Below are 11,256 nucleotides of genomic sequence, written 5' to 3'. Positions count from 1 at the left end.
GGCTCATGCTGTAATCCCAGCACTTTGGGAGGCCAAGGTGGGTGGATCACTTGAGGTCAGGAGTTTGAGACCAGCCTGGCCAACACGGTGAAATCCCGTCTCTGCTAAAAATACAAAAATTAGCCTCGCATGGTGGCATATGCCTGTAATCCCAGCTACTTGAGAGGCTGAGGCACGAGAATCGCTTTAGTCCGGGAGGCAGAGGTTACAATGAGCTGTGATATATAATGAAACAGTTTTACTAAGGAAGCAGTGACTTGGTTTCTCTAGAAATTGCCTAACACACACATTCCAGGATACATTCTCTGTCATCTGGAATCTCCCTTCCACAAACCCACGCTGTCTTAAGCACTATTTTCCTATTTGTTGTTGACCTAATCTAGAAAAAAGCTCCCGTCACTCGTTCTCCCCCACCCAGTCCCTCAGTCCCGAAACACGCTTATTCTCTGCACTTGTCACCCCACCCTTTGCTGCCCCCACCCCAGCGCGCAAACGCACACAGGTTTAAAGTTTAGGCTGTGATGCTCTCCTCGCCCGCAGATCACAGGACAGACATTCCCGGGGACAACTTTGCAAGGCCATGTGCTCGTCCTCCTTAGGAAGGAAGAGGGAGAAATCCCTGCGGCTCGGTTTTGTTCCAATGGTCTGCTCAGCGAGTGATTCCCGTTTCCCCAAAGGCTGCCCCTCATTAGCATGAACGGGGGTGGGGGTGTGGAGAAGGGGTTGGGGGAGAGAAAGCAAGCAAAAGACCAGGCTCACTTTTAGAGCCTGGGAACCCTGTCTGCAAAAATGACAGCTAGAGCTTTCTGGCTCCTCTGTTTGATCGTCGGATCATCCCCCGAAGCACCGGTGGCGGAGAGAAAAAGTAAGATTGGTGTAGTGCGGGGCCCTGGGAGCGGAGCGGGGATCTGTGGGGGGGAGCTGGGAAGGAGGCTCAGTGAAACGTGGGACGAGGAGGGGGGTCAGAGCTCGCAAGAGAGGACACCCCGGGTCTGCGTTCGTCTTATAAAGGAGCAAAGTGTGTCCCCAAGGTTTCGTGTCTCTTGGCAGCCTTTTCGGAAAGAAGCCAATTTAGCTACTGAAATGATCCCGAGCAAGCCGGGCAGGCTGGGGAAAACTTTGCATGTTAAGTAGTTGCTCCATCACGGAGGAGGGAAAGTGTCAAAAGGGGTCGTGGCGCGCCTTTCGGGAGCCGTGCCCGGGCCGGGCTCGCAGGACGCCGCGGGGTCCGCCCCCCTCGACTGGGTGAGCAGGGGCTGCGGGGGGCGCTGTGGAGGGCTGGGGGGAAGCGGGGCCGAAATCCGGCAGCCCCGGGCACTTTGCTCTCCCCGCAGCCCCAGCGCACAACCTTGGGACACCTGAGCCGGGGTTTAACTAACACGCACACACTCTTATACTTCATGCACGAAATGAAATTAAGTTACTCAGCCCGTGAAGAAATGAGGGGTTCTCTGGGGGATCGTGTTTTTGTTTTGCTTTTATTTGGATGTTCTGTCGGCTTCGCTATCTCTGGGAAAAACAGTTTCCGTACCTCACAGGGCAATTTACTCTGGGTTATTTTTCCACATGGAAATTGAATGACTTCAGTGGCATTTAACCCAAATATCAGACAATCTTTCCCATGACAACAGATGGTTATATCAATGGGGAAGCAGTTGTGAGGTCAACAGTTGACAGTCAGGAATTGGATATCCACCAGAACTTTATTCAGCTGTGCATGGCACAACCGTTTAACAACATAATGAGTCAGAATCAACCTCTTTGCAAAAACATGAACTCTAACCAGCTATTATTGCTGGGTGAAAGCTGATTTTAAAGCAGATTATCGATTTGGCAAGACTGATCAACTTTAAATGAAGTGTTGCCAGAGCTGCAAATGGGCAGATCCATCTCTTTAATGCAAGGGGAGAGAAAAATAAAGGCTAGTTCTTGCCTGTTTGGAGGGCACTGGGACCCAGGCAAGCAAGGAGGTGAAATTGTGTAACTGGTATGGAAAGGTGCCCAGCTCCCAAGCTGGCTGAGGTTTACTCACCAACCTGTCTGCAGAACTAGGGAAAATCATTAATAATTTTAAAAATTTGTTTTCATGCCATACCATTTAGGAGTCTTTCCTCCATCATCTAATGGGGAAAAAAATGTAAGCGACGTGTGCTTTTATACTTAACCAGGGGCCTCTCTGCCTCCCAGCCAAGCTTTTAAAACCTTCCTTAGCTGTGGTTTACCAGTAAGTGGTGTCCAAGAAGCCAGATAAAAATCCACTTACAAATGCTCGATTCTGCAGAGACCGGGATGACAGTGTAAACATGGATGGGAAAACCAAATAGTTCTGTTGTCAGGGGCGCTTAAAGAATTAGGAGAACCTGTAATATGAGACCTTTCCCCCTGGGGTTTGCTCTTGGTACTTTCTCAACAAACTGTAAATAGCAAAGAGGCGGATGTTTATATATGTTTTATATATATATATATATATACACACACACACACACACACACACGCACACGCACACATACACACATATACGTATATATTAAAGGAAGGGCAAAAAAGTTTGTTATCTAACCAGTGTTGTAAGACATGTTTAGTCTTAGAGTAAATAGGGGGTTGTAATTTTAAAAGCTATAATCTTAGAGGTCAAGACCCTCGTATCCTTCTTCCTTTGGGGCCTGGGAAGCGCGTGCCCCGCTTGGCCGCGACGCTGCGTCCGGGTTCTCCCTGCTTCACTTCCAGGCCTCCGGGCCTCCCTCCCATCTCTCCTCTTGCAGGTGCCTGCGAAGCCTCCCTTGTCCTCTATCTCCTCTCCCCCTCCCAGAGCCCTTCTTCTGCAGCGCCCCTGCCCCACTAGCGGCCTCCTCCCCTCCTGGCTTCCCTTCCCCTCTCGGCCTCCCGTCTCAGCCTCCCCTTCCCTCTTCTTCCTTCTCGGCTTCCTCGGCTTTCCCCGACGGCCTCCCCTCACTGCTTCTCCTCCCCCACCGCCTTCCCGCCTCTCCTCTTCTCTCCCCACAGCCTCGCCGCCGCACAGCAGAAAGCCGGACTCCCGCGGCTGCCCGAGCGCGGAGGAGACACCGGGGCCCCGCGCGCAGCCACTCCTTGAGGCCCCGCAGCGGCCGCGCGCGGCCGAGGTCGCTCCCGCCGCCCGCGCCTGGCCTGACCCGCGCCGCCGGAAGCCCCCACCGCCGGCCGACAACCAGGCCAGCTTCCGGGAGGCCGCACGCGCGCCCGCTGGCCCGCCGGGCCCGCGCCTGGCGCAAGCCGAGAACCGCGCGTCGCCGCGCCGCGAGCCCGCGTCGGAGGACGCCCCGCGACGCGCGCGCTCACGGGCCCTGCGCTTCCCCGCCGCCCGGCCGCCCGCGCTCGCCACCGAGGGCTCCGCCGGCCACGCCCACCCCAACCGGCCGCGCGCCGCCGCGCTGGCCCCGGGACCCGCGCCCGCGCCGCCGCCGCGCTTCAGCCTCAGCTTCGGCCTCAGCCCGCCGCAGAGGGACGCGGAGCCCGGCGCTGAGCCCTGCGCGCGCGCCTGCCGGTCCGATCTGGACGAACGCGAGGCGTTCTGCGAGAGCGAATTCGGTGAGCCCGGCCGCCGCGCCGCCGCCCCGCCGCCCCGCGAGCCTTTCCGAGCCCCGGAGAATCCGCCCGCGAGATCCCAGGGCGCCTGACCCGTGCGGGCCGTTTCGCGGTTGCTAAAAACCACCTCCTGGGGGACTGGGAGAGGAACTCGGGGTAATGCTCTTCTCCAAACTGTTTTTCGGAAGCAGCGGTGAACGGGATCGTGCACGATGTGGACGTGCTGGGCGCGGGCATCCGGCTGGTGACCCTGCTGGTGGATCGGGACGGGCTGTACAAGATGAACCGCCTGTACCTCACCCCCGACGGCTTCTTCTTCCGAGTCCACATGTTAGCCCTGGACTCCTCCAGCTGCAATAAGCCGTGTCCAGAGTTTAAACCTGGTATTGAAACTGACCTGAATGACGCTGCATATGTACTTTATACCACCGTTTGTAACGTGGGTGCCACAGCCCGGGCTGTAGGTCGCCCAGCCTTTTTTTGGGAGCGATGGGAAACAATGACATGAATGGGATTTAGACGACAGGTATTATTCCGGCCACTCTGTGATTTAAGCCCTGTCAGCCCCCACCCTCAAGGGTGAGAACAGCAAGGGTTGGCACAAAGCGGGCTGTCAATAAATAGATGTTGACAAATGGGGTGGACGACCAAACACCATTGCCAGAAGGGACTGTACAGAACCGAGTTTAGAAAAGCTGCTTTTTTGGGTGTGTATGTGGGGTTGGTAGCGGGGAATACCCACTCCCACATCTTTCTAGACATGTGCTCTGGGAAATCCTGATAGATTGTGATAAGGACCTTTGTTCTGTAATGTGGTCCGGTTACATACTGCTTTTTTTTTTTTTTTTTTTTTTTTTTTGAGATTGAGTCTTGCCCTGTCGCCCAGGCTGGAGTGCAGTGGTTCGATCTCGGCTCACTGCACCCTCCACCTGCCGGGTTCAAGCGATTATCCTGCCTCAGCCTCCCAAGCAGCTGGGGTTACAGGCATGCGCCACCACGCCCTGCCAATTTTTGTATTTTTAGTAGAGACGGGGTTTCACCATGTTGGCCAGGCTGGTCTCAAACTCCTGACCTCAAGTGAGCTGCCCACCTCGGCCTCCCAAAGTGCTGGGATTAAAGGCGTGAGCCACCACACCGGCCTGGTTGGTTATCTTGTAAAGGTGGCTAGGCTGTTTCCACCAGATGCCTGTAGACTCAATATCAGTTTCAACTTGTGCAGCAAGATAATAGATTGCAGCTTAGGCGTTTCTTAAAGGCCTTACATTTTCTGTTTCATGGCATTTAAAAGACACTATGAATTAATGTTCTGGTTATTTTGTCCAGGCAGCAGGTATATTGTGATGGGCCACATCTACCATAAGAGACGGCAGCTCCCTACAGCTCTGCTCCAGGTCCTGAGAGGCCGCCTCCGTCCAGGGGATGGACTGCTAAGGAGCAGCAGCAGCTATGTGAAAAGGTTTAATCGAAAAAGGGAAGGGCAGATTCAAGGTGCAATTCATACCCAATGCATTTGAAACAACCATCCTGGCATTTCTGGACCGCAAGAGACTTGGACGTCGGCAACAAGACATGAAAGGTCTACCTTCATGTAATGGGTCCTCCTTCAGAAGAGAGCCCTCAGCTACTCTGTGAATGACTTGCATAGCTGCAACTGTAATCTCGAAGGTGTCACTTTGTTATTTACAAGATGCTTCTTAAATGGGCTGCTCCTGAGCTCAGTGTCAAGGTGATTCAACTGTAGTGCCAGACAATGATTTACACAGCTCAGATAATTGACCTGTCCAGTTAACAGATCATTGCTTCATAAGTTTTTAAATTATTTTAATTTAATATTCTTTAGTAGAAATAGTCCACAAAAACATTTTCTTGAATTTAAATATACAACTTTTATATCATGTATCAAACCAGATTTTATATTCAAACGATCACATTTTAAATTCTGTACATAACAGTAAGCGCACTAGTCAAAAGACATTTATGTTTGAAATGTCATTTAGATCAAACACAAGGGTCAAAGCCCAGGACAAGTATTAAAGTTTTATACTTAAAGAGTACTAAAGGGCCAGTGTGCAGATGGGTGGATTAAAAAAATAAATAAAATAAAAAATAGTACTAAAGGGCTTACTTCAGGCAAAAGTGTTCCTGACGTACCAAAAAGTAAGATATAGTTTATTTTCATGCCTCCCTGCTCCTAGTAATGTATGTTTTGTGCTGAACTGGCAGCTATCCCAATGTGAAATGTATTTTGGATGTATCTGGTGTCATTTTTCTATTAAGACCAAGTATAATGTTTGTTTGTAAAGCAATAAATCTTGACTTGAAATCAGATCTTGGATGCACCTGTTTGTTTTTGTTTTAGCCTTACTGAGCCCTAAAGGTTTGAGAAAAAGGCTTTCTCAAATTCATTCCCCAAACCTTGGAACCAATATTCACCAATGACGGCTCACAAGCAAGCGAATTTTAAACATTTTTCAGTTGGTTTTAAAAAGGTTTAATTGGCCGGGTGTGGTGGCTCATGCTGGTAATCCCAGCACTTTGGGAGGCCGAGGCCAGCGGATCACCTGAGGGTGGGAGTTCGAGACCAGCCTGACCAACATGGAGAAACCCCCGTATCTACTAAAAATACAAAATTAGCCGGGCGTGGTGGTGGGTGCCTGTAGTCCCAGCTACTTGGGAGGCTGAGACAGGAGAATCGCTTGAACCCGGGAGGTGGAGGTTGCAGTGAGCCGAGATCACACCACTGCATGCCAGCCTGGGCAACAGAAGCGAAACTCCATCTCAAAAAACAAACAACAACAACAAAAAAATGGTTTAATCACTAGCTAAATTAAATATTGATTTTATACTTGAGTCCACAAAAGAGTATTTTTTCGGAAGATCAGGCTGTACTTTAGTTTATATGAAGCATGGTGAACAGAGACACCACTAATGCATAGATGAAGATGACTGCCTAAAGACAGAAAGGAATCTTCACTGGAGAGAGAACAGCCTATTTGGCCTCACAGTGATGCACTCAGGAAGCTCAGAATGTGTCCTGACACTGTCCATGGCACACAGTAGTAGCACTGTGCACCTAAAGGACATCCAGGATGGGACGCTAGGGAATCACAGGAGCCAAGAAGCAATAGCCCAACATTACAATATCTGATACTATTATTTGTTCCAATTATGGGGCATACAGGTAATAAAGGGTTGAGAGGTTCTGAGTGTTCCATGGTAAAGCACTACTGAGGGATTTTTCAAGTATTTTTCAAAAATGAGTTTTGTCCAAACTTATAAATTTTACTAGAATCGCTTTTTGGGAGTCAGCAGCATTATTACATGAACTATTGGTGATAGAGTACATAGCTAATGAAGACTTCCTGAGTTAGTTTTCTTTAAGATAAAAAACTAACTCGGGCATAACTCAGGCCAGTCAAATCAAAGTTGAATTTTTAAATGTCTAAAGGCTAGGCCAGGCGCGGTGGCTCACTCCTGTAATCCCAGCACTTTGGGAGACCGAGGTGGGTGGATCTCAAGGTCAGGAGTTCGAGACCAGCCTGGACAACATGGTGAAACCACATCTCTACTAAAAATAGAAAAATTAGCTGGGCATGGTGGCGGATGCCTGTAATCCCAGCTCCTCGGGAGGCTGAGGCAGGAGCATCGCTTGAATCCGGGAGGCAGAGGTAGCAGTGAGTCGCGATTGTGCCATTGCACTCCAGCCTGGGAAACAGAGCAAGACTTCATCTCAAAAACAAACAAACAAACAAAGGCTAAGTGGTTATCTCGAATAATGTGGTGGAGACAACTACAAGATGACCAAATAGGGCCGGGCGCGGTGGCTCACGCCTGTAATCCCAGCACTTTGGGAGGCCGAGGCGGGCGGATCACGAGGTCAGGAGATCGAGACCATCCTGGCTAACACGGTGAAACCCCGTCTCTACTAAAAATACAAAAAATTAGCCGGGCGTGGTAGCGGGCGCCTGTAGTCCCAGCTACTCGGGAGGCTGAGGCAGGAGAATGGCGTGAACCCGGGAGGCGGAGCTTGCAGTGAGCCGAGATCGCGCCACTGCACTCCAGCCTGGGCGACAGAGCGAGACTCCGTCTCAAAAAAAAAAAAAAAAAAAAAAAAGATGACCAAATAGATAAGTTATTGGTTGGATGCTCAGATGTTAAAACAAAGAGAAAAGTTATAAATAGTTCTGGAATATTTTTTCGAGACGGAGTCTTGCTCTGTCACCCAGGCTGAAGTGCAGTGGTGTGTGATCTCAGCTCACTGCAACCTTCACCTCCCAGGTTTAAGAGATTCTTCTGCCTCAGACTCCTTAGTAGCTGGGGATTACAGGTGCCCAGCACCATGCCTGGCTAACTTTTGTATTTTTAGTAGAGACAGCATTTCACCATGGTGGCCAGGCTGGTCTTGAACTACTGACCTCAAGTGATCCAACCCCCTCGGCCTGCGTGTGTTGGAATCACAGGCGTGAACCACTGCGCTGGGCTGATTTTTTAATTTTAGTCTGTATCCTGCTGAAATAACTCTAGTTTAAAAAAGGTCCAGGTGTAATGGCTCATGCCTGTAATCCCAGCACTTTGGGAGGCCGAGGCAGGATCACTTGAGGCCAGAAGTTTGAGTCCAGACTGGGCAACATAGCAAGACCTCATCGCTACAAATAATAAAAAAATTAGCCAGGCGTGCTAGCGTGTGCCTTTGGTCCCAGCTACTTGGGAGGCTGAAGTAGGAGGATGGCTTGTGCCCAGGAGGTCAAGGCTGCTGTGAGCTGTGCCACTGCACTCCAGCCTGGGCAACAGAGCAAGACCCAGTTTCCAAAAAAAAAAAATAATAATAATAAAGAAAAAGGAAAAAAATAACTTTTACATAATCCTGAAGCTTAAGTTTAGGGTTTGACTTAGATTGGTTTGATAATAGTCCGTTTCTGGGTAATTCTGGAAACAAAAAAAGTGCCAGAGCTGTGATACCTGTGATACTTGGAGGTCACATAGTTAACATGCACACCTTGGCAAACACATGCAGGCCAGATTCTTAGAAACTTCCTGGCTAAACATTAAGGTCTTCATTCAAAACCAGGTCTGTGTCGGGCGCAGTGGCTCACGCCTGTAATCCCAGCACTTTGGGAGGCCGAGGCGGGCAGATCACTAGGTCAGGAGATCGAGACCATCCTGGCCAACATGGTGAAACCCCGTCTCTACTAAAAACACAAAAAATTAGCCTGGCGTGGTGGCGGGCGCCTGTAGTCCCAGCTACTCGGGAGGCTGAGGCAGGAGAATGTCATGAACCTGGGAGGCGGAGCTTGCAACTTGCAGTGAGCCAAGATCTCGCCACTGCGCTCCAGCCTGGGTGACCACGCCTGGCCAATTTTTTTGTATTTTTAGTAGAGACGGGGTTTCACTGTGTTAGCCAAGATGGTCTCGATCTCCTGACCTCGTGATCCGCCCACCTCGGCCTCCCAAAGTGTTGGGATTACATGCGTGAGCCACCGCGCCCGGCCTCAATGCCCGGCTAACTTTTGTCCTTTTTTTGAGATGGCATCTCACTCTGTCACCCAGGCTGGAGTGCAGTGGCGTGATCCCGGCTCACTGCAACCTCTGCCTCGCGGGTTCAAGCGATTCTCCTGCCTCAGCCTACCGAGTAGATGGGATTACAGGCGCCCATCACCACGCCCGGTTAATTTTTGTATTTTTAGTAGAGATGGGGTTTCACCATGTTGGCCAGGCTGGTCTAGAACTCCTGATCTCAAGTGATTCACCTGCCTCGGCCTCCCAAAGTGTTAGGATTACAGTTGAGAGCCACCATGCCTGGCCTTTTGTACTTTTAGTAGAGACGGGGTTTGGCCGTGTTGCCCAGGTTGGTCTTGAGCTTGTGGCCCCAAGTGAATCACTCACTTCAGCCTCCCAAAGTGCTGGGATTACAGGCATTAGCCACTGCGCCCTGCCAATTTGATGGAAAATTTTAATGAGCAAATGCACTATAGTTTCTTATAATCTTGTCCCATTGATAGATTTTTCTTAGCAAATGGGTTTGTGCCTATGTGCACACATTAATAGTCCCTAAATGGAATACTCTCTTGCCTTCAGTAGTAATTCAATAGCATCCCTCCTTCAAATGAAGCTATTATTTTACAATTCAAGGGAAAAAAGTACTTGTTTTTCTTTTTTTTCTTTTCTTTTTTTTTTTTGAGACGGAGTCTCGCACTGCGGAGTGCAGTGGCACAATCTCAGCTCACTGCAAGCTCCGCCTCCCGGGTTCACGCCATTCTCCTGCCTCAGCCTCCCGAGTAGCTGGGACTACAGGCGCCCGCCATCACGCCCGGCTAATTTTTTTTGTATGCTTAGTAGAGACGGGGTTTCACCGTGTTAGCCAGGATGGTCTCAATCTCCTGACCTCACAATCCGCCCGCCTCAGCCTCCCGAAGTGCTGGGATTACAGGTGTGAGCCACCGCGCCCAGCCAAGCACTTGTTTTTCTTTGGGTAGGAAAACGTCTATAAAACACATACACTGTTTGTTTGTTTATTTATTTATGTGAGACTGAGTCTTGCTCTTGTCACCCAGGCTGGAGTGCAGTGGCACAATCTTGGCTCCCTGCAACCTCCACCTCCTGGGTTTAAGCGATTCTCCTGCCTCAGCCTCCCAAGTAGCTGGGATTACAGGCACCCACCACCAGGCCCGGCTACTTTTTGTATTTTTAGTAGACACAGGGTTTTGCCACATTGGCCAGGCTGGTCTCGAACTCCCGACCTTGTGAGCCACCTGCCTTGGCCTCTCAAAGTGCTGGGATTACAGGCGTGAGCCACCACGCCCGACCCATAGCTCTTCACAACTGCCTTGTAAAGAAAGCATCATTTGGCACTGTTAGTATTTCTCTTGAATTTTTTTTTTTTTTTTAGACAGAATCTCGCTCTATCGGCCAGGCTGGAGTGCGGTGGCACCATCTTGGCTCACTGCAACCTCCGCCTCCCGGGCTCAAGCAATTTTCCTGCCTCAGCCTCCCGAGTAGTGGGATTACAGGCATGTGCCACCACAGCCTGCTAATTTTTGTATTTTTAGTAGAGACGGGTTTTCACCATGTTGGCCAGGCTGGTCTCGGACTCCTGACCTCAGGTGATCCGCCCGCCTCGGCCTCCCAAAGTGCTGGGATCACAGGCATAAGCCACCGCGCCCGGATAAAATCATTTTTAAGGCTGACCATTCACACATAGAAACAAACTCATAAAAACTGACCTGCCACCTATAATGCATCACCTCAATTTCAGGAAATATTTGAGCAAGCAATAAATAAATTAGATAAAGCAGGACATTAACATTTTAAAAATATAGCTAATTTTAGTTGAAAATATAGCTAATTTCTTTAGTTGAATTTGGTTCAAATTGGATCAAGCGGTATGATCTTCTGAGAAAATCTTCTAGTATCTCGCTCCAAGTATCCAGAAGTACCTCAGAATGTTTCAAATTATTAAAAATACTTCTCAGCTGGTTCTTACCCCCACCTCCTCAAGTACTTCATTACTTTATCCATGAAATATCACCATTCTCACATTAAGGACAAGAAGTCTGAGACCTACGGTAATAGCTTCAATCATGAAGAGCGAAAGCTGTAATAACCATGTAGCTTTGTCTAAGTGTGCAGAGATCTGAAAGGCCACCAGGTTGGCTCTTTAACATAAAGCAGCAGAGAGTTTGCCTAAAGGAATTAACA

At 49.8% G+C, this 11,256-nt stretch overlaps 1 protein-coding gene across 3 annotated transcripts, besides 5 other annotated features; it reads left to right on the top strand.

Moving 5' to 3' along the window:
* Positions 1–518: 518 nt before the first annotated feature.
* On the top strand, positions 519–5,889 carry C17orf58 (chromosome 17 open reading frame 58). Of its 3 annotated transcripts, NM_001382359.1 has the most exons (4): positions 519–865; positions 3,004–3,564; positions 3,753–3,944; positions 4,885–5,889. In NM_001382359.1, exons 1-4 carry the CDS (start codon positions 790–792, stop codon positions 5,073–5,075), a joined length of 1,020 nt encoding a protein of 339 aa, NP_001369288.1. In that variant the 5' UTR covers positions 519–789; the 3' UTR covers positions 5,076–5,889. The 3 variants fall into 3 exon arrangements, with proteins under 3 accessions (NP_001369288.1, NP_858041.2, NP_858042.2); NM_181655.4 differs by lacking the exon at positions 519–865 and having other exon boundaries at positions 3,382–3,564; NM_181656.5 differs by lacking the exon at positions 519–865 and having other exon boundaries at positions 3,382–3,564; positions 3,753–4,087.
* Positions 1,200–1,289: a silencer, noted in NCBI's record as "silent region_8883". NCBI's record gives its function as "represses an Ori minimal core promoter by ATAC-STARR-seq in GM12878 lymphoblastoid cells {active_cell/tissue: GM12878}" and the evidence as "EXISTENCE:reporter gene assay evidence [ECO:0000049][PMID:35858748]".
* Positions 3,044–3,303: a silencer, noted in NCBI's record as "silent region_8882". NCBI's record gives its function as "represses an Ori minimal core promoter by ATAC-STARR-seq in GM12878 lymphoblastoid cells {active_cell/tissue: GM12878}" and the evidence as "EXISTENCE:reporter gene assay evidence [ECO:0000049][PMID:35858748]".
* Positions 3,354–3,433: a silencer, noted in NCBI's record as "silent region_8881". NCBI's record gives its function as "represses an Ori minimal core promoter by ATAC-STARR-seq in GM12878 lymphoblastoid cells {active_cell/tissue: GM12878}" and the evidence as "EXISTENCE:reporter gene assay evidence [ECO:0000049][PMID:35858748]".
* Positions 3,544–3,603: a silencer, noted in NCBI's record as "silent region_8880". NCBI's record gives its function as "represses an Ori minimal core promoter by ATAC-STARR-seq in GM12878 lymphoblastoid cells {active_cell/tissue: GM12878}" and the evidence as "EXISTENCE:reporter gene assay evidence [ECO:0000049][PMID:35858748]".
* Positions 3,844–3,893: an enhancer, noted in NCBI's record as "active region_12634". NCBI's record gives its function as "activates an Ori minimal core promoter by ATAC-STARR-seq in GM12878 lymphoblastoid cells {active_cell/tissue: GM12878}" and the evidence as "EXISTENCE:reporter gene assay evidence [ECO:0000049][PMID:35858748]".

Source organism: Homo sapiens, chromosome 17 (genome assembly GCF_000001405.40).
Source record: "Homo sapiens chromosome 17, GRCh38.p14 Primary Assembly".
NCBI classification, from domain to species: Eukaryota; Metazoa; Chordata; class Mammalia; order Primates; family Hominidae; genus Homo; species Homo sapiens.
The sequence above is the reverse complement of the archived record's forward strand: the minus strand, read 5'-3'. Positions and strand labels throughout refer to the sequence as shown.